At 41.3% G+C, this 26245-nt stretch overlaps 2 long non-coding RNA genes across 2 annotated transcripts in view, besides 2 other annotated features; both read left to right on the forward strand.

Annotated features, from left to right (window-relative positions):
• MIR3681HG (MIR3681 host gene) overlaps nt 1–26245 on the forward strand; it is a 571233-nt gene that overhangs the window by 475742 nt on the left and 69246 nt on the right. The gene's annotated exons all lie outside the window — the stretch shown is intronic.
• LOC107985853 (uncharacterized) lies at nt 3426–8470 on the forward strand. The gene is made up of 3 exons (XR_001739290.3): nt 3426–3654; nt 3763–3895; nt 4780–8470. It is a non-coding gene; the product is annotated as an uncharacterized LOC107985853 (long non-coding RNA).
• Nucleotides 21836–21945: an enhancer, noted in NCBI's record as "active region_15339". NCBI's record gives its function as "activates an Ori minimal core promoter by ATAC-STARR-seq in GM12878 lymphoblastoid cells {active_cell/tissue: GM12878}" and the evidence as "EXISTENCE:reporter gene assay evidence [ECO:0000049][PMID:35858748]".
• Nucleotides 24756–24805: a silencer, noted in NCBI's record as "silent region_11181". NCBI's record gives its function as "represses an Ori minimal core promoter by ATAC-STARR-seq in GM12878 lymphoblastoid cells {active_cell/tissue: GM12878}" and the evidence as "EXISTENCE:reporter gene assay evidence [ECO:0000049][PMID:35858748]".

Raw genomic sequence — 26245 nt, forward strand, 5'->3', positions numbered from 1 at the left:
TTTGGTTGAAGTATATGAAGTAATGTAATAAAATATGAAAAAAAATCACTTATGGACAGGCACAATGGCACACGCCTGTAATTCCAGTACTTTGGGAGGCCGAGGCAGGCAGATCAACCGCTGGGCGGTGTTACGAGTTCAAGACCAGTTTGTCCAACATAGTGAAACCCCATCTCTACCAAAAATACAAAAATTAGCTGGGTGTGGTGGCACACGCCTGTAATCCCAGCTACTCAGAAGGCTGAGGCAGGAGAATGGCTTGAACCTGGGAGGCAGAGGTTGCAATGAGCCAAGATCGCGCCACTGCACTCCAGCCTGGGAGATAGAGTGAGACTCAGCCTGGGAGATAGAGTGAGACTCCATCTCAAAAAAGAAAAAAAAAAATCACTTATGTGGCTTCAAATTCCACATTCCAACAACTATTTAAAAAACTACTACATGCCAGTTTTTAGTGCAGTATCAAAGGAGAATAATTATTATCTCCTAAATTATTAGTTATCTAAACTATCTAATTATCTTAAAAGGCTATTAAAATACTTCCACCTTTTCTCACTACATATCCGTGTGAGGCTGGATGTTTTATAGTATACATTAGGTAAAAGTCAAGCTTATGCTGGTAGACAGAAGCTTCCTAACTGATTTTTGCTTAGAAACGTGACAAGTATTATTGACGACAATTTGTCGGTTGTGTTCTTTGAAGTGGCAGGCTCACTTAGTTTATTTTTGATAAAATGTCTTTAAAATATCCAAGTCTGAATAAACATTCTTTTCTGACACTTGTTCATTCTTTTCTGTAAAAAAAAAAAAAAAAAAAAAAAAAAAAATGCATTCCAGGAGAAGAGCTGCTAGTTTAGCTTGCAACTCAGATGCACAAGTACTTTTCCTTGAGATGACCACTGTGACCAGTGTGAGTGCCTTCCATTTCATCACACAGAGGAGTAAGAAGACCTGTGGGATGAAATTGAATTAAGTTAATAACTTTCATTTCTTCAGCAAGGATAGTTTTAGGTAAAGCTGGGGCATTGTTTTTGTTTGTTTGTTTTTTGCTTTTTTGTTTTGTTTTACTGTGAATGTGTAATATTGAAGAATACAATGACAACTGCTATTTCAGTTTGGTGCCACTTCCTTGATTCGTGCTGAGGCATCCAGTTTTACCCACCATTACTTTTACACCATCATTGTGGATGTCCACACAGTGAAAATGGTAAATAACATGCTCATGCTAATATGAAAATGTTTTTTACCTCATTGGCTTCCTAGAAAGATCTCAGGATCTGCCAGGAATACCAGGACCACATTTTAAAAATTGATGCTACTGTGTATCATACTTAATATTTTAAAGCGGTGATAGTTGTGATAACTGCCAGGCTTCATTACACTGCCCACAGGTTGTTCTGATGACTTGTCTTGTAATCTCTTCAAACCTAGGGTCTTTCATTAACTTGAGACAATATGGGAGCAGGGGAGAAAGAGAGAGAATAAGATTGTTTGCAAAAGAAACCAAGCAAAACAAATTGCTTAAAACCTTTTTTTGTTATATCACACAAAACTTAACACACAATGTAGCTTCTCATTTATTTTGTGTTCTATTCTGGAAACCATAAAATAAAGGATAGACGGGATTGTTGATAACACGATAGTACAAAAGGCCTGGGAAAATACTTGAAAGATACTTTTAAATGTGAAAGACAGACAACCCCAAATTCTTATTTGAACACACACACACACACACACACACACACACACGTGTGTGCTCAAATAAGAATTTCCTGTCTTAAATAGAGTTTCCAATTTGAGAATGTCTCAAAGGGTATATTTGATTCAAAAACAGCCTTTCCTTGGTGAACATCCTGATGACAAATTCCAAGGAATTTGAGGGAAAACTATCTCAGGACTTGAGGTCAAAAAGTCCTACATTGCCAAAAACCAAACAAACAGAAACCAAACAAATGAAAAACTCATTTAAAACACATTAATTGAGGTTAAAATGACAATGACTAATATCCACCAAAATGCTTTAAGGGAATACCACTTTAAGAAAGTTTCTAGCTAGATCAGCACTTTGCCTCAAAGGAATTTCCACCAGCTCCCTCCAACTGTTCATTCTGCTTTTTAGCAAACATTTGTTCAATACTTCCTATAGATCAGGTTCTGTGGCACCCTCGGGGGACAGAAGCGTCATTCTCACTGATGGGGCAGTATCACACCAGTGACTGGGGCAGGGTGTGGGCAGGTGCAGGTTCACAAAGGGAGAAGAAAGGCGATGACTGATGGTGTGCAGTGTAGGGTGCAGAGTGGTCAAGGAAGGCATCCAAGAGAAGGTGATGCCCAAATGGAGGTGATGTTCCACTCCTGCGAACGAGGAATAGGCTTTGCTAGGAGAAGAACACATGCTTTCGGCAGAGGGAAACACAAGTACAAAGACCTGGAGCCATGAAAGAGCAAGGCATGTCTGGGAAATGGTGAGAAGTTAGAAATTTATTGTCTTCTCATCTCTGCCATCAGTAATGTGAAAACGGGTTATGGAACTTGCAGGGTTTCCCCAGCCTCTGGACAGTTGGATAAGCCACAGGTGATATCAGAGGTAAAATGCCCCAGCTGTCAATGAAATGTGAGATTAGAGCAACCTAGAACTCTCTGTGACAGCTGGGTATGTCCCCTCTGAATCTGGTTGGCCAGCAGGTCCACCTTCTGCACCAGAGTGAACTGGAGAAGGAGTAGAAACGGTAAGGGAGGCCCCAGGCAGATCACAAGGCCCTGCTGGGGATGATGACTTAGGGTTGCAAACTATAATTCCAAATCAATTCACAAAAAAGATTTTCGTCGGGGTTTCTTAACCTGAAGTTCGCAGATTGTTTTCCAAAAAACTCTGTGAATACCCTGACATTTTACAGAAAACTTCCCATTTGCATATGTGCAGTTTTTGTGGAGAAAGTCTGACCATATTTTTCACCACATTTGAAGAGAAATCTTGGTAGCCCCAAATATTTGTGATGCATTCATCTGGATGTAGTGATTCAGAAATAAATAAAACCTTGGTCTGTCAAAACAGTTTTTCTGCTTGGCAAAACAAAATAAGAATCTGAAAAGCAGATAGTCTTGAGTTCACATTCTAGACATAAGTTAATTCTGTTCCTTATTAACTGTGTGACTTCAGCCAATTACCCAACCTCTCTGTTTCCTTTTCTGTAATAATATCTACTTAGATATTTTGGGGGAACAGTGGGTGAGGCATAAAATTAAATAATATAAACAAATGACTAGCACATAGGAGGCAATCCTATATCATAGTAATTATTTTTACTATTTTATTGCTAATATGCTGGGGTTGCTCAGGGGACAGAGAAACTTTCTGACTGAGTTTTTGGTGACAGTATTTAGAGAAAAAACAGTGTCTGGCTGAAGGCCCTGTCTCCAAATGTTCTGGCAATGTTGCTTTTGGCTGTCCCTGGCTGGTGTCTGTCTTTACCTTGAACTGCCCTAAGATTAGAATTTCTTGTAAACGGTGACTTAATTATTCGCCTGCATCCTTTTACAACGTCGGGCTGCTTCCCCCTGTGCTCAGGGAGTTGCCTCTCTGGCTGCTGCTTAGAGTGGACTGGAATTGACTTGTCTGACTGCTCTTTTTGAGGGCATTATCTCCAGTCCCTGAAGGTAAGTGTGGAGGTGCACATACATTTTAGGCCACTCCACTCAGGCATACCCACCTGTTTTTGGTGGCCTTGTGCAGGCACTCATGTAGACTTGGCGTGGGCTTTTTAGGCAAGAAAAGTGGCCAGAATGAAGCACATCCGAGAATGAAAAAGAGAAGGTCACCACGAAAAGCTTCAGCAGCAAACCAGTGAACTAGCTGCAGATGAAAGGGAATTCCAGTCTGACTCATCATGGGATCAAGGTAGATTCTTCACTAAGTAAAGCTTGTGGTGAATTTCTGTGCTTAAGAAAGTGTTTTGCAATTGGAGAATTCCTATGCATCCTCAAAGCAAATATCACCTCCTTCCCAAAGCCTTACCTGAACCCCTAGACAGAGGGGGATGTTGCTTCCTCTGTCCTGCATGAACACTAGGACATAGCCCTACGTCTATCTAGCCCTCCTCCCCTGGGAGCTTATTCAGATGTCTGTCTTCCATTAGGCAGTGGTCGTATGCCTTACCAAACACCTTTATTTCTTTTCTTTCTCTCTTTCTTTCCTTTTTTTGTTTTTTTGTTTTGGAGTCTTGCTCTGTTGCTCAGGCTGGAGTGCAGTGGCATGGTCTCAGTTCACCGCAACCTCCACCTCCCAGGTTCAAGCAATTCTCCTGCTTCAGCCTCCTGAGCAACTGAGATTACAGGCACCTGCCACCACGCCCGGCTAATTTTTTGTATTTGTAGTAGAGATGGGCTTTTGCCATGTTGGCCAGACTGGTCTTGAACTCCTGACCTCAGGTGATCCACTCACCTCGGCCTCCCAAAGTGCTGGGGTTGAGCGAGAGAGGAAGAGAGGAAGGGAGGAAGGGAGGATGGAAGGAAGGAAGTCCTGTTTCTGAAGTGAGAAAGACATGAGTTCTGTTTCCATGTCCACAACTCACTTTATGCAAAGCCTTAAACAAACTTGAACTTCTCTGAGGTTTAGCTTCCCCTCCTCTAAAAGGGGAACATGCTGGTTGTCTTGCAGGGTTGATTTAGGGATCAAACAAAGTCAATAGGTGAAAATAAAAAGAAATGGGGTGGAAGTAATTACGAATCAGCTCCTAATTAAGAAATAAACAATGTGTTTCTCTTTCCTCTCCCTAAATTCAGTTGTTTCCCAGGCATTCGCCCCATGTGTGGACTGCAGGGATAATGTGTCTCTGGACAGAAGTCTCTCTCGTTTGACTGCTGTGGATTCCCGCAGACTCTAGAACACCAGTCTCCCTCCTCTCCTGGCCATCCTGCAGGGAGCCACCCTTGTAGTCTTTCTAGAACCCACATGTCATGCTCATGCTGAATAACACCCATGAGTTCTCCAGTGTCATCAAGATGAAATCCAAGCTCCAGTGCATGGCCCTCTGCCCTCCGGACCGGGCCTGACTCTCCTCCTTTCTCTCCCCACATCAATCCAGGGCTCCCTGGAATCACCATGCTGCTTTTGTCTTTCTGCCTCAGCCTGGGCTGCAGCTTTAGCCAGGACACGTTCTCTGCCTTTTTCTTATTCATTTACCAGGAAAACTTCTAGTTTCCTTGAAGACTCACTTCAAGGCTCTCTTTCTCCTGGAAACTTGGTTTCCTCCCAGACAGAATTCACTGCTCTTCGTCTGAGATCCTGTAACACCTTACACATATCACCATCTTGGCTCCAACCTCCTGGCTTTGTAATTATTCCTGATTTGTCTCTCCCAGTAGCCCACTATCCTCAAGGAGAAGGCCGAGGCTTATTCTTGGTTGAGTTCCCAGTTACATGTTAACGTGTGAATGAGTGAATGAATGCACCTTGAATGCCTCCATCCTTTCCAAAGACATTGGAAATGTCTCTCCTCTGAGAGAATTCTTGCCTCACGTGTGAATCAGAGCCTGACAAATCATTTATTTCTTCGGCCTGGCATCCTACCTACCGAATGGCATGGGCTTGCTCTTGCAGCCCCAAGCAGAAGCTCTTTTGTCCACACTTCCTTTCTTGTTGTTTTAGCTTCCTTTCCCTTCACTGCTAGACTGTGAGCTTTTTAAGGGCGGGGCCACATCCTGCTCATTTACACCCTTGCGTCCCAGCATCTAGCCTGGTGACAGAGCAGAACGTGGCTCTCCTTCAGACCAAGCTTACTCTCGTCTTTAAATTGTTGCAGAAGGACAAGGGAGCAGACTAAAAGGAGCCAGAGATGAAATGGTACGCTTGCCTCTTCCATCATCAGATGTTGTGAACTGACAACGTAAATATTCAGGCACCTCCAGCATCTCTTGCCCAGCTGCTCTCTGCCTAGTGCAGGTGACCCAGTCCAACTCCTCTCAATTTGCCTGCCTTTCCGCTCTCTCTTTCATCTTCTTCTTCCTTTTCTAAAAGCAGGCACTGCAATAAATTAAACTTTCATGGTTCCATTCCCTCTTTTCCCATTGAGGAACCCTAACATATTTCCTTAAGGAAATACTTTGGAAATTGTAATTGAAACACAATAATTCATAACGGAAGCGGGAGGAGGAGAGTAATAGATTTAGCTCTTGTTTCTGGTGGCAGACATGTTAATTACATTTTCTATTTCCTCTCATTACCAGGGAGCATGTCTCCAACAGGCCAGCCTGCTACTCTCCCTCCTCTCCAGCCAGCCCCACCCTGCTTCACACCCTCAGTGGGCCTGGAGGCAAGTGGAATGCACAACTGACCATGTCACTGTTTTGTTCTGAGCTCCTTGGAAGAGTTACAACCCAGCAACTCAGGTCCAGTTTCCTTAGTGGGAATCAGAGAGCCCCAAACTCTACTCTCCTACCTTAAGGGACAGCCAGACTGAGATCTCTGAATTCACATAGCCTCTTCTTGCTTCTGGGAGTCTCCATATGCCACCGAGGCCCCCGTTTCCCCTGGAGTGAGTCAGGAGGACCACTACTGCCTACCTGCTTGTGCATCTGCCAGTAACACCTGCTCCCCTATCTGTCCTGTCTCACTGCCCTTTCTAGTAACATTGCCTCGGCCGGAGAAGGCAGAATGTGTGGCTCCTGACTCCTCTGCATTCCTGTTGTCCCTTTCACACTCATGATGCCATAGTATGATTGTCTTTTACTCTCCATCTCTTTATCCCCTGCCTCAACCCCTCCCAGTGACACACAAAAAAGTATGAGAAACTGGAAGCATTGGGAGGGCAGGGCATTTATCAGGAAATTTATCAATTTCTGAACTATGTAGTACAGTGCCTGGTTCAGAACAAATTCTCAACAAAATATTTGAATAATGTACGTCTAGGCAGACTTCTTGGATCGAGACTCTCTGACTAGTGGGTGGGGAGTGGAGTCCTCAGGGTCCTTTTCTGCTGACATAAATCTTCTCTGCGTAGTAAATCCTAGAGCAAGTGTACTTTCTGCAGCTTAGCTGCACAGTCATGTCAGTGCCTGAGCCAAAAGAAACGATGGAAAAATGTGTGCCCCATACATACTTATGAAAATATTCTACCATATTTTGATCCATATAGAAAAAGCTAAAAAAGATTTGAAATTTTATGAAAATGACTTTACAAAAGCCCTGTATTGTCCAGTCTGTTCTTGCGCCGTGCTTAACCCTCCTCCTAAGCTCACCCAGGAGGGACTGTGAGGACCACGAAGCCTTGGAACCATGGACTGACGAGAAATGATTGTTCCCACTGCACAATGAGGCAGGGCTACAAAGTATGACAACAGCCTGGTTTTAAAAAACACAAAATTCAATATTATATTTATCTTGGAGTTTTGAATTAATTTTGATTTTTTGTTTGTTTGTTTTTGAGATGGAGTCTCGCTCTGTTGCCCACACCGGAGTGCAATGGCACGATCTTGGCTCACTGCAACCTCCACCTCCTGGGTTCAAGCAATTCTCCTGCCTCAGTCTCCAGAGTAGCTGGGATTACAGGCACCTGCCACCATGCCCGGCTAATTTTTTTTTTTTTTTTTAGTAGAGATAGGTCTTGCCATGTTGGCCAGGCCAGTCTCAAACTCCTGACCTTTAGTGATCCAAACTGCTGGGATTACAAGTGTGAGCCACTGCGCCTGGCCATAACGTTGACTTTTTTTTTTAATATGCCACATTCAAATATTTATCTTGATTTCTGAGTTTTTGGCATACTTAAAATTCACACCCAAGACAAATGTTTTACTTACCTCACTCTAATGCCAATCCTGCCCTTAAGGGACTTCAAAGGGAACTCCTCCCACTTCTCTCCTCCTCCTCTGAGCTCCCTTTCCTCAAAGAGCATCCAGTCCAATGGGGACGTGAACACATCAACACTCAACTCCATTATATCACATGGTAAGGTGAATGAATACAACAAAAATAGGCGTAACTGAAGTGCAGGTGTAAGCTGAGAAGGGCAGGGCTAAACACGACTGTACATTTGGGAAGCCTGGAGGCAGAATGAGGCAATGGTAAAGGCCCTGAAAGATAAGTAGATTTCTAATAAATAAAGAAGTGTAAAATGCATTCTGAGCAGAAGCCGTAGATGAACAAAAGCTTAGAGGCATTGTGTTAAGTGAAATAAGCCAGACACAGAGAGACAAATATCGCACGGTCTCATTGAAACGTGGAATCAAAAACACTCAAACTCGCAGGAACAGAGCAGAATGGTGATTTCCTGGGGCTGATGGGGGTTGATGAGAGATGGTCAAAGAGTACCAAGTTTCTTTTATGCAAGATAAGTAAGTTCTGGAGGTCTACTATACGGCAGTACCCACAGTTAACGATACTGTTTGTATACTTACTCTATGTTAAGAAGGTAGATCTTTTATTAAGTGTTCTTAGCTCAGAAAATGAAACAAAGAAAATCCAATAATAATAATGATAGAAGGGGTGGGAGGAAACACTTGGGAGGTGATGGCTAGGTTTGTGGCCTTGATGGTGATGGTTTTGCGGTTGTACATTTACCCCAAATGCATTGAGATGGATACATTAAATATGTATAGCTTTTTATAAGGCAATCATACCTTAATAAGAGATTTTTAAAAGGAAAAACTTTAGTGAGAGAAAAACATTCATGTGAGTGCAGGGTCTGGAAAGGCCCTTTCATGGATGTGGAGAGCGTGCAGGACAAGGGTGCTCTGCTTGGTTGACAGGTGCCGGACTGGCCTGGCCAGGATAGAGAGGCAGAGTCCAGGTTTCTTGGAGAGACTTCACAGACCAGAGCTGGTTCTGTCAGATGTGAGTCCTTGTCAGGAAAGGAGCAGGCTCCTCCCTAAGCTCTGCATAGCAGCCCCTCTGTAGGCCCCAAGTGGTAGTACCCCCCACCATGCTGGCACCTCTGTCTCCTGAGAGCCCCTTCTGTGGTCAGGAGCTGCCTACCAGACCCCAGGCAGCAAACTCAGGACGAGGAGAAAGTTCTCTTCTCAGCATGTTACTACCAGGAATGGAGCTTTCTAAAGAATGTGTCTTTGTCCAGTCTATCATTGTTGGACATTTGGGTTGGTTCCAAGTCTTTGCTATTGTGAATAATGCCGCAATAAACATACGTGTGCATGTGTCTTTATAGCAGCATGATTTCTAGTCCTTTGGGTATATACCCAGTAATGGGATGGCTGGGTCAAATGGTATTTCCAGTTCTAGATCCCTGAGGAATCGCCACACTGACTTCCACAATGGTTGAACCAGGTTACAGTCCCACCAACAGTGTAAAAGTGTTCCTATTTCTCCACATCCTCTCCAGCACCTGTTGTTTCCTGACTTTTTAATGATTGCCATTCTAACTGGTGTGAGATGATATCTCATAGTGGTTTTGATTTGCATTTCTCTGATGGCCAGTGATGATGAGCATTTTTTCATGTGTTTTTTGGCTGCATAAATGTCTTCTTTTGAGAAGTGTCTGTTCATGTCCTTCACCCACTTTTTGATGGGGTTGTTTGTTTTTTTCTTGTAAATTTGTTTGAGTTCATTGTAGATTCTGGATATTAGCCCTTTGTCAGATGAGTAGGTTGCGAAAATTTTCTCCCATGTTGTAGGTTGCCTGTTCACTCTGATGGTAGTTTCTTTTGCTGTGCAGAAGCTCTTTAGTTTAATTAGATCCCATTTGTCAGAAAATGTGGCACATATACACCATGGAATACTATGCAGCCATAAAAAATGATGAGTTCATGTCCTTTGTAGGGACATGGATGAAATTGGAAATCATCATTCTCAGTAAACTATCGCAAGAACAAAAAACCAAACACCGCATATTCTCACTCATAGGTGGGAATTGAACAATGAGATCACATGGACACATGAAGGGGAATATCACACTCTGGGGACTGTGGTGGGGTGGGGGGAGCGGGGAGGGATAGCATTGGGAGATATACCTAATGCTAGATGACGAGTTAGTGGGTGCAGCGCACCAGCATGGCACATGTCTACATATGTAACTAACCTGCACAATGTGCACATGTACCCTAAAACTTAAAGTATAATAAAAAAAAAAAAAAAGAAAGAAAAAAAAAAAAAAGAATGTGTCTTTGGATGGCCTTCTGGGGAAACCGGAATGTGGTGGGATGCCAGTTAGAAGAAGACAAGAGCTCCTAGCCCTAAGACGCCTTGTATGGGGCCGCCTTGCGAGGGTGGAACCCGCCCTTGTAGCCCGGGGAGAACAGGCTCTTTGAGGCCTCTGCTTCCTCCCTTGCCCAGTGCTATGCTGTAATCAGGAGATGAGTGTGCTCCCCTTTCAAGCTTCTGATGAGTAACAGGACCAAGGCAACACGGGAAGTCAGGGTGGGGATGGGAGGTACTTTGGCTTTCCTCGCCAATGCCTGGGACCTTTCCTCTCTGAGGGGTTTGGCTGATAGGCTCTTCACTCCACGCTTGGCCTCCTTCCCTGTCACACCAGGTGGCTTTCAGAAAACACATTCCACATCATTCTTATCTCTTGTGTGAGTCGGGCTGCCTCCTCCTCTGCACTCCCCAATAGTTCTAGTGTTGGCTCAGAGGCTCTGCTCCCTTCTCCCTGTAGGGACAGCTCACCCATGCACTGAGAGGGAGAGGGACTAAATGTTTATGAGTATCTTTCTGTGTTGGGCACAGAGCTACAGTCTCTCTCATGTGCGTCTTCTTAAATCACATCAATACTGAACAGTGGTGGGTTTAATTTATGTATTTATTTTTTTACAAATAAAGAGGCAGAGACTTGTTGAGGTCACATAATTTGTGCAAGGTGATCCAGTAAGACTCAGATTGTCTGGCTGCTGAACCAGCACCTTTTCTTCCATAAAGTGGGACTTTATTCTTGAGGTCACAAGGCCTTTCCTGGAGAGAAACTGAGGCGTGTAAGAGGAGGAGAAAACATATCTGAAGAAAATGTCAACTGCTCTGAGAGAAGATTCTTTCAGCTGAAGCCATTAGTTCATTCAGATCATATGTACAGAGAGTCTCCTAGCACTGGCCAGGCTGCTGCCCTCATCCACCAAACCTCCCCACTTGACAGGCTCAGCCTTCAAGGAGTACTTGAAAGTGAATTCTTCTGTGTTGTCTTCCCTGACACTGCCCCAAATTGAGGCAAAGTCATGGCTTCCTCCTCTCAGCTCCCAAAACAAGTTGCATACACTTTGCACTATGGTTTTTAATGTTAATTTAACTATGTTCTGTCTTCTAAAAATGAGAGACAAAAGGTGGGAGAAAGAGAGAGAGTGTGCGTTAATGTTATGTGTCAATATGATTAGGTAACACAGTACCCAGATATTATTTGGTTAAATATCATTCTGGGTGTGTCTGTGAGGGTGTTTCTGGATGAGATGAATTCATAGACTGAGTAAAGCACAATGCCCTTCTTCATATGAGTGGGTCTCATACAATCAACTGAAGGCCTGGATAGAACATGAAAGGGGAATAAGAAAGATCACCTCCCTCTGCCTGACTCCGAGTTGCCACATTGGTCTTCTGCCTTTGGACTCAGGCTCAGACTGGAACTTATATCGTTAGCTTGTCTGGTTCTCTGGCATTTGGACTCAGACTAAAATTATACCATTGGCTTTCCTGGGTCCAGAGAGATCGATCCATTAATATATAAGTATATAGGATACTATTACTAATAGGATATATATTTTACATATATACACACACATATATATATAGTATGTATATCTATTAGTATATAGAATACTATTACTAATGGATAAAAATTAGAAATAAAAGATATATTTTTATATATTTATGGATATATATTATAATGGATCCATTACAATATTTATAATATATACCCAATAGTAATAGTATTCTATATACTAATGGATATACATATATAATATATATCCATTATTTAATAGATACAACATAACTCTGCATTTAGGAAGGTTCCATATATCTATATCTACATGTAGATATACTACATATACACTATATATACATATATGGTATTCTATATACTAATGGATATCCATATATAATATATAATGGGTATATATTCTTTCTATATTCATATATGCTATATAATGGATATATATTCATTACTATATAGATTATACTATCTATTATATACTATATACTATATATGATATACATACATATAAAAAACGGAAATACATATCTGTAATATATATATATATAATGGAAATATATATCCATAATACATATATAATGAATATATATTCTATAGTATTCTAGATACTATTGCTAATATGATATATATATTTTATATATATCCATTAGTATATAGAATATGATTACTAATAGTACATAAGTATAGAAAACTATTAGTATATAGAATAATATTACTATTGGGACATATATATGTAATAGTAGTTCTATTTTTCTGGACAACAGAGAGAGAGAGAAAGAGAGAGAGAGAGAGAGAGAATGGGATAAATGAAGAGGGAGCAGCGGGAGACACTCCCCCACTGTTTCAGTCAGTGAGCGCGTGTCCTAGGTGGAAAATGAGACTCTGCAGTTCTGTCTGTGGGTATGAGTGGCTGCTGCCTCGAGAGGCCAAGCCCCTCACCTCACCACGAATCCTTCTAGGTCCATTGCTTTCTCACAACCTGGATCCTGGAATCAATGTAACGGCTTCACTGGGGGTTCAACTAAAGAAGGGATAACCTAGGGTCATTTTGACTCTATGTGACTTTCATTTCATCTGCATCATTTAAGAATATTGTCTTTGTGTGTAATGTGGTTCCACTATGTGTTTTTGTACATGGGTGTGCATGTGTGTGTATAACAGGAAGTAATGGGTACATATGTGACTCACTGGAATTTTTTGCCTTGACACCAAAAGCAATGTCGTTTCCTCAGTTTCCTGAGTTTACTTACAAGCAGGTTATATGAGTGACAACTTTTCTAAGATAGCTCTAAATTATGTTTGTACTTGAAGGGGACTTATACCCTAGAACAGCACTTCCATCCACAACAGCAGCTCCCTAAGAAGCAAGGCATGTGAGTGGGAGGGATGTTGCTTGCTCTTGTCATTAGCCAAATCTTACAGATGACGGTTACTTCATCTCTTCAATCCTGTGGCCATTTTTAAAAACCTGCTAATAATGGATCTGATTGGATAAATAAATACTTTGGTTGAATACACGTTTGTCTTGTTAAGAGAGAGAGAAAGACAGACTTTCATATTCCATTGAAAGTAGAGGTAATCTGGGGTTAGAATATTCATAATCTCTGTAGTTACAGGACACATTCCATCAAGCACAACCCAAATCTGTGTGTCATAGGAGCTCCAAGATACACGCTCTGACATAAAAGTTGAGTAAAAGATAAATGATTTCTGCCCCACAGAGGAGGCCTGGTGAAGGCTGATGCCGATACACAAGCACCGTTCCAAATTAAGTTTCAATGTGTAGAAAGGAAGTCGTGATACTCACTTGTAGCCACGTAGCTTATTAGATTTTCAAAGACCTTTCCCATGCTTATTCTCCCTGATCCTCAGTCCTCCAGCAGAACTGAGAAAGTTCTGCTTTCAGAAAGTTCAGGAACCATAGTTTTCTGCACCAATTCCATAAATATTTGTTGAGTACTAATATGCACTAACTTCTTTGCCTAAGACTGAGGATATAGAAACAAATAAAACTGTCACCATTCTTGACCTCATGAAGCCTACATTCTAGTGGGGAAGACAGTCTGAACAAAGAATTATAAGTTGGCATCTGTCACCTAAGGAGAATGGGTTGCTATAGAAGAATATTGGTAGGGGATCTAATAGTGGTGGTCATGGATGGAATAATGGAGAGAATCACATTTAAGCTGTGTCCCCCCGAAGTTCTGACACATGGAGTGAATAAACGGAGCCATTGCTAACTGGGGAAGTAAAGTTTGTTCATCAAAAGGCAGGTGTATTAGTCAGGGTACTTTAGAGGGACAAAACTAATAGAGTATTAGTTTTATTAGTGAGAACTAATTTATATAATAATAAAATATTACATATTATATAAATAATATATATTTCATATATATACTCCTATATATAGGAGTATGTGTGTGTATATATATATATTATATATATATACATATATTATATATATGAAATAGAAGGGGAGTGTATATATACATATAAGAGTTTGTTAAGTATTAACTCACATGATCGTAAGGTCCCACAATAGGTCGTCTGCAAGCTGAGGAGCAGGGAAAGCCAGTCTGAGTCCCAAACTGAAGAACTTGGAGTCTGATGTTCAAGGGCAGGAAGCATCCAGAAAGATGTAGGCTGGGAGGCTAGACCAGTCTCTCTTTTCACGTTTTTCTGCCTGCTTATATTCTAGCCGTGCTGGCTAGAATATTAGATGGTGTCCACCCAGATTAAGAGTGGGTCTGCCTTTCCCAGCCCACTGACTCAAATGTTAATCTCCTTTGACAACGTACTCACAGACACACTCAGAATCAATACTTTGCATCCTTCAATCCAATCAAGTTGACACTTAGTATTAACCATCACAGCAGGCATTTGATACTTCAGAACACAGCTTTGGTACACCCTGGATTGGAAATTGTGGTTATATGTTAGTACCTAGTACATCTAATGCCCTGTGATAGATTCTGTGATTGTAATAGTGAATAACTAAAATACATCAGAGTATTCAAAGCTAAGTATTTTATCATCATTTTATATAATAACAAAAGCTATCTCAAATTTTCTTGTGAAAATTAAATAGAATGAGCTGTGTATTCTGGGACATAGTAAATGCCCAATAAATGGAGCTTCAAAAACATCACCATATGCAATGTGTAAATCTTAAATAGATCCTGACTTAAAAAATAAAAACTATAATGAACATCCTTGGGACAGTTATGAAAACTTGGATTTGAGTTGGATATTCAACATTAGGGCATTATTGTTAGCTGTCTTATGTGTGACAATGACATTGAGGTTGTGAAGGAGAATATACATGCTCTTAAATCATGCATGAGCAAGTATTTATGGGTGAAGTGTCATGACGGTTGCAACTTATTTTCAATGGTTCAGAAATATAGTGAGATAAAGAAGAATGTTACTAGTAGTTAAATGTAGGTTGTTGGTTTATGGGTACTCTTAATCTATTCTTTCAACTTTTCTGGATATTTGAAAACTCTCAGAATAAAAAAACTGAGGGAGAAAAAGAAATTGTGGTTTAGACTTGAAGTTCAATTGGGACTTCCTGTCTTTGAATTTAAATTTTAGATCTGTATACCCAGGTATGCTGAGGTCTTCAGAGAAAATTGGTGGTGGAGAGTGGTGGGTAGCAGGGAGAGAGAAAGAAAGAAAGAGGGAGAGAGAGAGAAAAAGAGAGAATACCTTGATTCAGATTTATGATTTTGCAGTACAGAAGTTGAGAGCCGTGTATACCTTTGGAGGTGTCAGAATACCAAGTGAGAGCTGCATTTAACACAGAGACCCTGCCTGCTAGTAAAATATAGTTTAATAAATTCGAGTTCTCACTAATTCGATTAATAAAAAGTCTCTTTTTGGGAAAATGGGAGCTGGTGGAGCATTTGTAAACCTACTCCCCCAATAGGAAGAAGGAAGAATTATTTTTCACTGAGTTCACATTGCTAGTGAGGAGAAAGGGAAAAGGCATCACATGCCAGCCTGTGCCTTTTCCCTACCCCTCATGCAGGAGTGAGTGGGACTCTATTTGCAGATGGCCTAGGAACGTAGGCAATCCTCAGATATGGTAGACCTTGTGAGTTTGGTCAAGGAGTTTGGATATAAACCTCTGAAGATTTCTAAAGAGCATAGTTGCAGGATAATATGTGCATTTTAAAATCATCATTCTGGTGTGGTAACAAATATTTGTCAGAAGAGCAAGAGACCAAATTAAGATTCTGTTATAAAAATTTAAGGAAGAGACAACAGTGGCTTGCTCTGGGATAGAGGCGGTGGGACAGGAGAAAGGTGAATGTCTGAGAGGTCCTCAGGAGGTGATTGGATGTGAGTGGGATGAGTCAGAGAGAGGAGTCACAAGACACTTCTGTGGTTCCAGCTTGAGCAGCTGGGTGGATTGTGTTGGGACAATAGCTGGGGAGCTGTTTTGGAAAGCAGGAAAGTTATGGGATAGTCAGAGACATCTCAGGTTTTAATTAACTCTGAGTCACCCAAATGAAGTTGCCTTAACATTGCTGGATACATGGGTATGGATTTCAGGAGGAAAGACTATACTGGAGCTAGGGATTTGGGAGATGTTAGCATATACATAGTAAATGCATTCAGGGACTGAGGGGTTTTTCTGAGAAGCACGATTTTTAGTGCTAAAACCAGGAGCATCCTGACAAACCAAGACGAATTGGCCACCCTACTCATAAGTAAATGTGCTAGTGAGGAAGGCATACGAAAGAGATGAGGAGAAGATATTCCAGAGATATATTCTCAAATATGAGGCAGCAAACAAGGGGAGCTTTACTAACAGTCAACAGAGTCCTGTCCCTAATGGGGCATGAATCTCTATATGCCCAGAGAAATGCCTGTCCATGTGCCCACTAAATGCCTGATTATTGTAATTAATCTTTTATTTGCTCACATGAAAACGTCAATACTTCACTCAAAACCATTAGATTTAGGGTCTTCATTGTCTAGAGAACAGTGTTCAAATTTCTTGTTTGAACACTTACGTTTCTCAGCAAATATAATGTGGATTTTGCTTCTTCATTTCCCCTTCATAATCCCAGCTCTCCAGCTACATGGATTAATTTTTCATGCTTGGAGTATCTATTTTCCATTCATCATTTATCTGTAGAACTTTGGAAAGGCCCTCCCTGCCTCCAAAGTGCCAGCATTATTTGTCCATCTCAATGTCACCTCCTTCGTAAGACCTTCCTCATCTCATCATGCTCTTAGCATCCCCTCAACAAGCATTCATGATGCTCCCGTTGTTCAGGCTCTGTGCAAAGGTCTGTAGATAAATATATAACTAAGGGACAAGCGTTGTCTTTAAGAGGAAGCTTTGGGTTTCACCTTCCTTCTTGGTGCCCCCAGAGCACTTACTTTTTATGTACCATCTGCTCTGCATTTTAGCTGCTTTGGCATTTGTCCAAAGGAAGAAGGTGCTTTGGACAGAAGGCTGGACTCGGGAGCCAGGGCACCTGGTTCACCCCCTGCTCTGCTGCCGCCCCTCCATTAGTTGCCCAATGTCTTTTTTTTCTTTTTTCTTTTTTTTTTTTTTTTGGTTTTTGAGATGGAGTCTCTCTCTGTTGCCCAGGCGGGAGTGCATTTTTCATGTGATCTCGGCTCACTACAACCTGTGCTTCCTGGGTTCAAGCAATTCTCCTGCCTCAGTGTCCCGAGTACATGGGATTACAGTCACCTGCCACCATGCCTGGCTAATTTTTTTTTTGTATTTTTAGTAGAGGCAGAGTTTCATCACATTGTCCAGGTTGGTCTCCAACTCCTGCCCTCAGGTGATCCACCCTCCTCGGCCTCCCAAAGTGCTGGGATTACAGGCATGAGCCACCGCACCCAGCCTGCCCAATGTCTTAGAGCCTCCGTTATCTCGTTCATATCATAACCTCATAAAGTAGCAGTATGGATCCGATGAAATAATTGATATAAAAATGGCTTCTTTACTGTGAAAAAATGCATATATATGTATATGTCCTCATTTGCTGCTCAACGTCAGAGAGCATGGGTCAGCTTTATACCACACAGCAAACTTGCCTCATCTGTTTCTGGTATAGACTCAAAACTCCATTAATGCCAAGTAACATCTGACGGTGTATGGGTGGAAAGGAGACAGTCTCAGGTGCTGAAAGAAGAGGCGATCAAACTTAATGACAAATTTTGCTGTGTTCTTTATGAATATGCAGAAAGCTTGGGAAATGTCCTTGAATTTATAAAATTAGGTGAAAGGAATGAGATAAGTCTCGACATGTCTGACTTTTCATGCCTATAGGCACCCATTTTTCTGCAGACACATGGGGGCTGTGCATCTTCTTGTTCTGCTGGGTCTTAGAATTGTGGAAATGCAGCCTCCCACAACTCACGGGGCATTGAAGAGACCCTGACTCTCTTCCAATGTTTAGGGAGGAAACTGAGCTCCTGAGAAAGGACTGAAGAATCCAAGCTAGAGAGAGTTAGAGGAACAAAGAGTCTACAAGTTTGAGCTTCAGCTCTCAACAGGGCCTTTCACCTCCCTGCTACCTGGGGGCTCTGTCTTAGCTGTCACAGTGCAGCCAGCACTGTCAATGATCTATCAATTGGCAGCTCTCTTATGTTTTGGTCTGGAGCCACTTTAGATGTGATGAACAAGATTAATTTTGAAAAATAATGCTGTGTTCCAATAAAAATGGCTCATGTACTGTCAAGACCAATTGGAGTCCTTTTTTTTTTTTTTTGCCTTAGTAGGGAGAAAAGGTATTCCATGTCGTAAGTTACATGTTAAATTAGTAACAATGGTTAATTTTAACAATCATTGTCTAAAGCTGAATAGGATGCAGATATTTATTGATGCCACTTTCTGTTCTGGTAGTAATTTTGTATTACTGATGTACTCTTGCAAGTAGTCAGGCAATTTTGACTTGTTAAAATAATTTTAAAAACACAGAAAGAAGGACAGTTGACAATTTAACAAGATGAAAGATGGTTTTAAGTTTAGGATCAGGCAATAAGAAACACAAAATACATGAAACCCTTACTCCTTTGTTTGCTGGTGCAGGTTTGAGGTCTCTGCTGTTAGGCAGGAAAGGGTGGGAACTCTCCTCCACCCTTCCCCTTCCTGCCCCTCCACTGACTGAACAGGCAAAAGAACATCAGGACGACTCATACCGAAAGCCGGGGGTGCTGGGGCCTTGCAAACCAGGTCACCTGACAGAGCTTTTGCTTCTATGAGCCTGGATGAAACCAGCTATACAATAAAGCCAATAAAAAGAAAAGAAGATGCCTTAGTGCCACATAAATTTGGCAGAAGTGAACATCTCACTGATTAAAAATACATTTTAAATAGAAGAATTATATGGCATGTGAATTATATCTCAGTCAAGCAGTTGTGAAATATATAACACCCCCTGCTTACACACACATGCAACTACTACATCACATGCAGGCACTTGGCCTCTCTGCCTATCAAAAGTAGCTTGCATTTGTACAGCTCCTTGCAATTTACACAGGGCCTTCATACGCCAGTGGTTTCACACTTAGGAATTGAACAGAGAAGTAGGAAAAAGGAAACAGAGAGTTTACCCTTACAAGATAATTGATGTTCCTAAGGTCATACAGTGAATGAATGTCAGAGACAGAGCTTGAGTTTTAATCCCAGTATTCTTTACACCACCTCCCTATCAGTGTCTCCGTGGAGGTGAGGGCATGGGCTTTGCAACATTTTAATTTCTCAAGGTTACCATGAACTCTAATAGTAAGGAGGGAATGCTAGGAAGAAGAGAAAACTTATGTCTTGGAGGGAAATTCTAAATAGATGTTTTCTATTAAGTTCTAGAAATATATTCAACACAATTGAAAAAAATTGTGGAATCTCTATTATCTGTCAAGTCTATGCCGTCCTCATTTACTCTCCATGTAAAATTAGTGGATTTCTGAGGATCCTGCATAAGCCTAATATTTAATGAATTTAGATTTCTTAAGGAATCAAAATTTTGTATTGGTGAATTAGAACATGACCAGAAGTCAACCAAAGTCTCTCCCTGAGGGAAAGAGTAACTGAAGCTTGAATAATGTGTGGACTCAGGAAGTCAGGGGAAGGCACTGCTGCTGAGAAGATGAATGTATACAAATCTATGAACTAAAGAATTCAAGAAATGAGTTACCAGACCGAGGTGTGTGCAAGAACATTCTGGAAGGGGGCAAATGGGACACAAAGTTGACATCAGACAACTTGGAATTGAAAAGGGAATTAGAGAATTGGCAACTGGCAGAAAGCTTTCAAATGAAGGACATAGGGCCTGAGGTAGAGGAAGTAACTTGCCCCTTGAAAGCCACACAACAGCAAGACAGAACCAGGGCTGGCCCTGGAAGTCAGGTTCCCAGATTCGTGGTGTGGCCCCCACGATACTGCTCTGCACGTCATATCTGAGCATGAGACGACTCAGAAATCTTTGCTGATTCAACCTTTCTGCCTCTGCATGTAAATGCCACCATGCCTTCCCACATTGCCTCTCTCCCACGTGAAACATCTGGTTTGAGGTTCACCAATAATAGCTTAAAACCACAAGTCTAAGTCAGTGGGACCCAGAATTGTCAAAAGAATCACCCAAAAATCCAGGGAAAAGGAAACAGATGACTTGGGTTTAACATACTTTAATCGTGCTCTCTAGATGACGGTTTTAAATAAGTATGCCATAGAAATAGATAACATGGCAGCCATGATTCTCTTTTTATCGAACAATTACCCTTTAAATTCTCAGGCCCCTCAGTAGGAGCCTACCTTTCAAACTTAAGGGCTCTTCTCTCCGTTATTAGTGACGTGCTTTTCCCATTCCTGTATGTTAATTATTTTATAAAAATTGAAGGGATTTAACATTGAAATCTCTGCCTTGGGCCCTCTGAGTTCCAGGAAACTCTCTTCCAACAGTAGTAGGAGGCCAGCTCTGCCTGGACATCCCACCTGCACTGTGTCCTCATCATGGGGTGAACTAAACTAATCTCCCCCAAGCCATGAAGTTCCCCATCTCAAGGACAGGAATCCCTGCACACCCAGCTATGCAGTGCAGAAAGAAAGACAGGAGTCAGGTAAATAAATACATTGTTAATGGAGTAGATGTTGTTGCTGGAGGTTCTGGCAATTAGTAAACGGGATAGTTACTGCAACTACCTATACAGTAAATTTCTCATCTTTACAATTAAAGCATTAATGTCTATTCATTACAGTGTTTTGAAGAGTAAGAAAATATACTTAATATACTTTGCACAGTGCCTAGTACATATTAAGTACTCAATAAATGCTAGTTGTGTTTATTATAGCTATGGTTCATATCTCGCCGAATCCCATCATTCAGCATGGGACATGGGTACAGTACAGTATGCACATAATAACTATGTGATCCCTAAAAGAATAAATGCATTTGAATCCTGCACACATTCCATGAGCTTAGTAATGACTTAACTCTCCCATGTAAGAAAACTGAGTCTATGTTGGTATATATTTTTCCCTCTGAGATGAGGTCTTGCTATCTTGCCCAGGTTGGAGTGCTGTGGCTATTCACAGCCAAATCATAATGCACTACAGCCTTGAATTCCTGGGCTCAAATGGTCCTCCTGCCTCAGCCTCTGGCGTAGCTTGGACTATAGATGTGTGCCACCACACCGAGCTGTGTTGGTGTATTTGAAATGTATTTTTCTGAATGATACATTTGGTGGCTTTCAACTGTAAAGCTAAATATATGGTTATAATCTAGTAATGATAATGGAGGTTTCATAACCAAGTTAGAAAAGAGATGCTATTCACCCTACCTTGGAATTCTAGGAAGATTCAGGGAAGTTGTAATATCTCCTAGCAGTATTACTAGAGTGCAGACGTTTACCACCCTGGTGTGCCAGATACCATTCTAGTGCTTTCCCATGCTACTCCCTTTAAGTGCTCATCAAAACTTGGGAGTAGTTGATATTTCTTCCAATTACAGAGAAGGGAAGTGAAGTTCAGAAAGTCAGAGTAATGTTTCCATCTTACGCAGCTGTGAGTTTTAGAGTCAAGTTTCAAACCCAGGTTTGGGTGGCTCCAGTGCCCTATTATTTTCCATAACACTACCCTGCCTCCCACGAGTTTCCTGAAATAGAATTAGAAAACTATGTGACTCATAGTCCTCCTGGCCACAAAGTCATTTCAAAAATCTCAGGCTTGAAGATGACTTTGAATGACAACAGGTCAGGCAATCTTCCTCCTCCTCATCTCCTCCCCGATGGTGGAGTCACCTCTGTGGTGTCTACCAAGCAATTTGTACTCCACTTGAGCACGTCCAGGCACAGAGAGCTGACTACATCTGGTAATGGCCAATAGATGGGAGAGGAAGAGAGGTCCTTTGATTCCACCTCTTACTATGTGATAATTGGTGTTGAGGCCCAAAGAAAGGCTAAGAGTTGTCCAGGACCATGCATTGAGGACTGCATGTCCAGATGATGGAGGTTAGTTTTCTAGAGCAGCTTCACCAGACCCAAGGCCACACTGAAAAGATCTGAGAAATAACACTACCAAATCACAGAATATTCATCCCAAAAGATGCATTAAAATAGAAGAAGGTGACTCCAACTCACCATGGGCAAGATCCACACTTTCCAGATTGTTCTCTCACATAGGAACGCGATTGGTCTGAAATGATGTTCTTTTCCCTGCCTGATTCCCTGTAAGAAAAGGCAATAAACGCTACCAACATTTACTAAGAATGTTACAATCGACAAAACCTTCTTCTGATCTTCACACTAATTCTGTAAAGAAGGCAATGCAGAATTAATCTCTATTTGTCAGACAAGGGACCTGAGATTCACTAAGTATTGTATTAGTCAGTGTTACAGGCAAATCGCTACAAGAAAAAACAATCTTTAATATGTGAAGCTACTGGGATATGGGGTCTTTATCACTCACATCGCAGTCTGATGTGAGTTGGCAGCAAGAATGTGGGAGGATTCATTTCCATGCACTCTCGCAGAGATCAAGGATCCTTCTATCTAATAGTTTTCCACTCAATTACCATCCAGTGGTCTACTTGGAGTCCTCCATCACCCTTTGCCTATCCAGCAGAGGAAGGAAGAAACAGTAGGTGGAGGATCACATGGGAAGTTTCAATGGTCCAGGCTTGGAAGTTGAATATGTTACTTTTGCTCAAAGTACATTAGCTAAAATTCAGGCACAGAGTCCCACCTAACTACAAGAGAATTGGGACAGGTCACCTAACTGTGTGCCCAGGAGGAAGGGCGAGCTAATATTGGTGGTTTAATGCACATATAATAGTTTCTGTCATAATCATCTTGATTTCACAGTATACAATGTGTGTGATTTCAACACAATTATTCTAATGATTTTGTGTGGGGTCTTTCTCAGGACTGCATCCTGAAGATATATGAATCCTAAGTATTCGCTTCCAGGTAGTGAAGCAGGGCCCTGTGATTTTTCTCTTCTGCTAACCGTGATTATGACCATCGTTGGTGATTTCCAAGTCCTGGCAATAATTCTTACACCATGGGGGGCTGGTGTCTATCTCTGAGGACTAACCTCCTCCTAGTTATTCAGCATCCTCAGATTCCTCTAGTCTTTGCAAGGTTATCTTTGTTCAACATTTCACTGAGTACTTGCATTGTGTCAGGCAACACAGAAACTCAGGAGACCGGAGATTCAGAAATAAATAAAATGCAGGGTTGTACCAGAAATGCCCTGTTTTTCACAGCTCACACACTGTCTAGTTGAGAAGCCAGGAAGACAAGTGATTAAAAATGAGGCCGACAAGTGTTGTAACAAATGTGAGCACACAGAGTAATGGGAACAAAGGGAGAATAAAAGCAGTTGTGCCTGGGGATAGCTTCAAAGTAGAAACAATTTTTCAGATAAATTTTGAAGGATAAATAATTATTCCCAATGAGAACGCATTACAGGCAGAAGCAAAATTCTGTACCCATCACAAGGACCAGATAATAAGAACAATTTTAGCTTGGATGTTGCTTAGGAGTGTGATGATAAAGAATGGTAGAAGATAAATTTGAATTGAATTTGAAAATTTCAGAGTTTGGACACAGATTGCAAAAAATTTGAAAATCATATAAAGGATTTCAGATTCTTGCCTTGCAGCCTTCAGGAGAAGTAACTGAGCAATAGTTCAAACACTGGTTTTTCCAAACTTGCTTTTTGGTCACTGTATCCATCTGATCTTTCTTCCGTCTTTACTAAAAAAGAAAAAATGAAAATGCTGTTTTGCTAAGGAAACTAAGAACACTTACTGAACCATTCAAATTTCCTTTCTCTCCTTCATTCCCTCTCCCTCTCTTCTTCTGTTAGTCATTTTCAAAGTACTCTCTTAGTGCCGGGTCCTGAGCCTAAGTATTCAGAGATATGTGTAAAATCACTACCTTCAGAAAGTTCACAATCTAATAAGAGAGGCAGATAAATAGACAACTGCAGCCCAGCACATGCTGGTAGAATGTTACTCACAGCTGCTGGGAGAACACTGCTTCCTGACCAGGGTCCAGGAGACCAGAGAACATGAGGAGATGATGCTTGTGTGATTTAACTTTAAAGGAGCCTTGCTTCATTAAATTTCTCAGTAGTAAGGTCTTATTTTGAAGAGGTCCTAATTACACTGCCCTACTAGAGAACAAGTCTGCAGGTTACACTAATACAAAACCTTTCAATGATCTGAGTTAATGGAGTGGCAAATGACATGGATTCGTGGCATTCTAGTATGGCAGCAAGGGTGTCCCTTTTTGGCAGGGGGTCTTTATGGCGTCTTTAAAATTGTTGGTAACTACACATTGCACTACTTTGAAGAAAGCCTGACCTTGACCGCCAGCCAAATAGATACAGAAGAATGGCCTTGGGGGAAGAGTCAATGCTTTCTGCAGGAGCTACACTGCTCAGAAGCCACAAAAGTGATGCTTCATCATCTGGCACCCTCCCACATAAACTGTGCCCCCGGGCCCACAGCCGCCTCTCAGAAGCAATGGCACTAAGCTTTTACTGTCTCCAGCGTGCACCAACCATGTCTTTGTGGTTAGCAGATGCATTGGTTTCGCAATTAAAGGCTAATGAGCCTGAAAGGAAACCATGAGTCTGACCTTAGAAGATTTCGTGTGCTCAACTTCACTGAATCATCAATGAATTTATGAGCCAGGTGAAGGATTTCCAGAGACAAGATGCGCAACCATTCCCCAAAATGTGACTTTGGGGGAAAAGGGAGAAGGGTTAGAGTAGTTAGAGTACCTGTTTTCAGATCTGGGAAGAGTCTCTCAAATTTTCAATCCCAATTTTAATCTTGTGAATCTTTCATTAATCCTATATTCCTTTTTTCACTTTTCAAGTTGTCCTCAGAGAACACAGATTTTATCTGGCCTGACCCTTCTAATTACAGCTGAAATAAAAATCCTTGTCATGAGAGTAACGGCACCTTCACCTTGAATTAAAAGATCATTCTGGATCATTGAAACGAGAAGTACTTTGCTTAACGGAGCATCAGTGGGGGCCAGTTGAGTTTCTGTGCTCATTGGTTCTGTTAGTGTGTTTAGGTTTACAGAACAATGTGAACTCCTTTCTTCATGGGTGCTCATTGTCTTAGCAGAGTGTGACTTCCCTAATCTCACTTCTGACAAAGGTGTTTATTTATCCACAGTTTTATTCCATCTAACTTTAGGAAATTACTCTTGCTAACTTGTTCATTATGCATTCCTTTGCTATTCTTTTAGTGGATACCTAGATATTATACCATGCATCTTGAGATATCGCTGTCTAACACAAATTATTACTTTTACTACTTTCATACTCCTGCTAGAGACTTAGGGCACTTTAATGTCCTTTGCACACTCTTGCCTTGAATAATAGTGACTGTTAGGCCTTTTCATTGGAATTCCCAGGACATTCAAGTTATTGCATTTTTTATAGCCAATATTAATTCCTCTACCTCCATAGTTACCCTTTCCTGTGTTCTTCATTCCCTCATACATTTTCATGTTTCCATCAATAACTATTTTCCTTCTGTAAGGTGATACACTTTTCCAGCTTTTGTTTACCAAAAACATCTTTATTTTATCTATATGCTTCAGGAATATTTTAATTGACCATTAAATTCTAGATGATGATTAATTTTCTTTGTATTTTTGTAGCTTAAAGGTGATGAGCTTCCTGAATATTCGGACTGTCTTTTATCAATTTTGGAAAATCCTTAGCCATCATCTGTTTGAATATTGCTCTAATCTGTTTCCTCTCATCCTTCTAAGACTCCAGTTACACATACGTAAACATGTCTGAGCGTGTCCTGCATATCTTTCCCTTTTTAAAAAAAATCTGTTCCTTCTTCTTTCTTTGTTTAAGTTCTGGAGTACATGTGTAGGGTGCGCAGGTTTACAGAGGTAAATTGTGCCATGGTGGTTTGCTGCACCTATCAACCAAACACCTAGGTGTTAAGCCCCGCATGCATTAGCTATTTTTCCTGACGCTCTCCCATCCCCCACCCACCCTTCCCCAACAGGCTCCAGTGTGTCTTGTTCCTCCCCTTGTGTCTATGTGTTCTCATTGTTCAGCTCCCACTTATAACTGAGAACGTGCGGCGTTTGGT

This window comes from Homo sapiens, chromosome 2 (assembly GCF_000001405.40).
Source record: "Homo sapiens chromosome 2, GRCh38.p14 Primary Assembly".
Taxonomy (NCBI): Eukaryota; Metazoa; Chordata; class Mammalia; order Primates; family Hominidae; genus Homo; species Homo sapiens.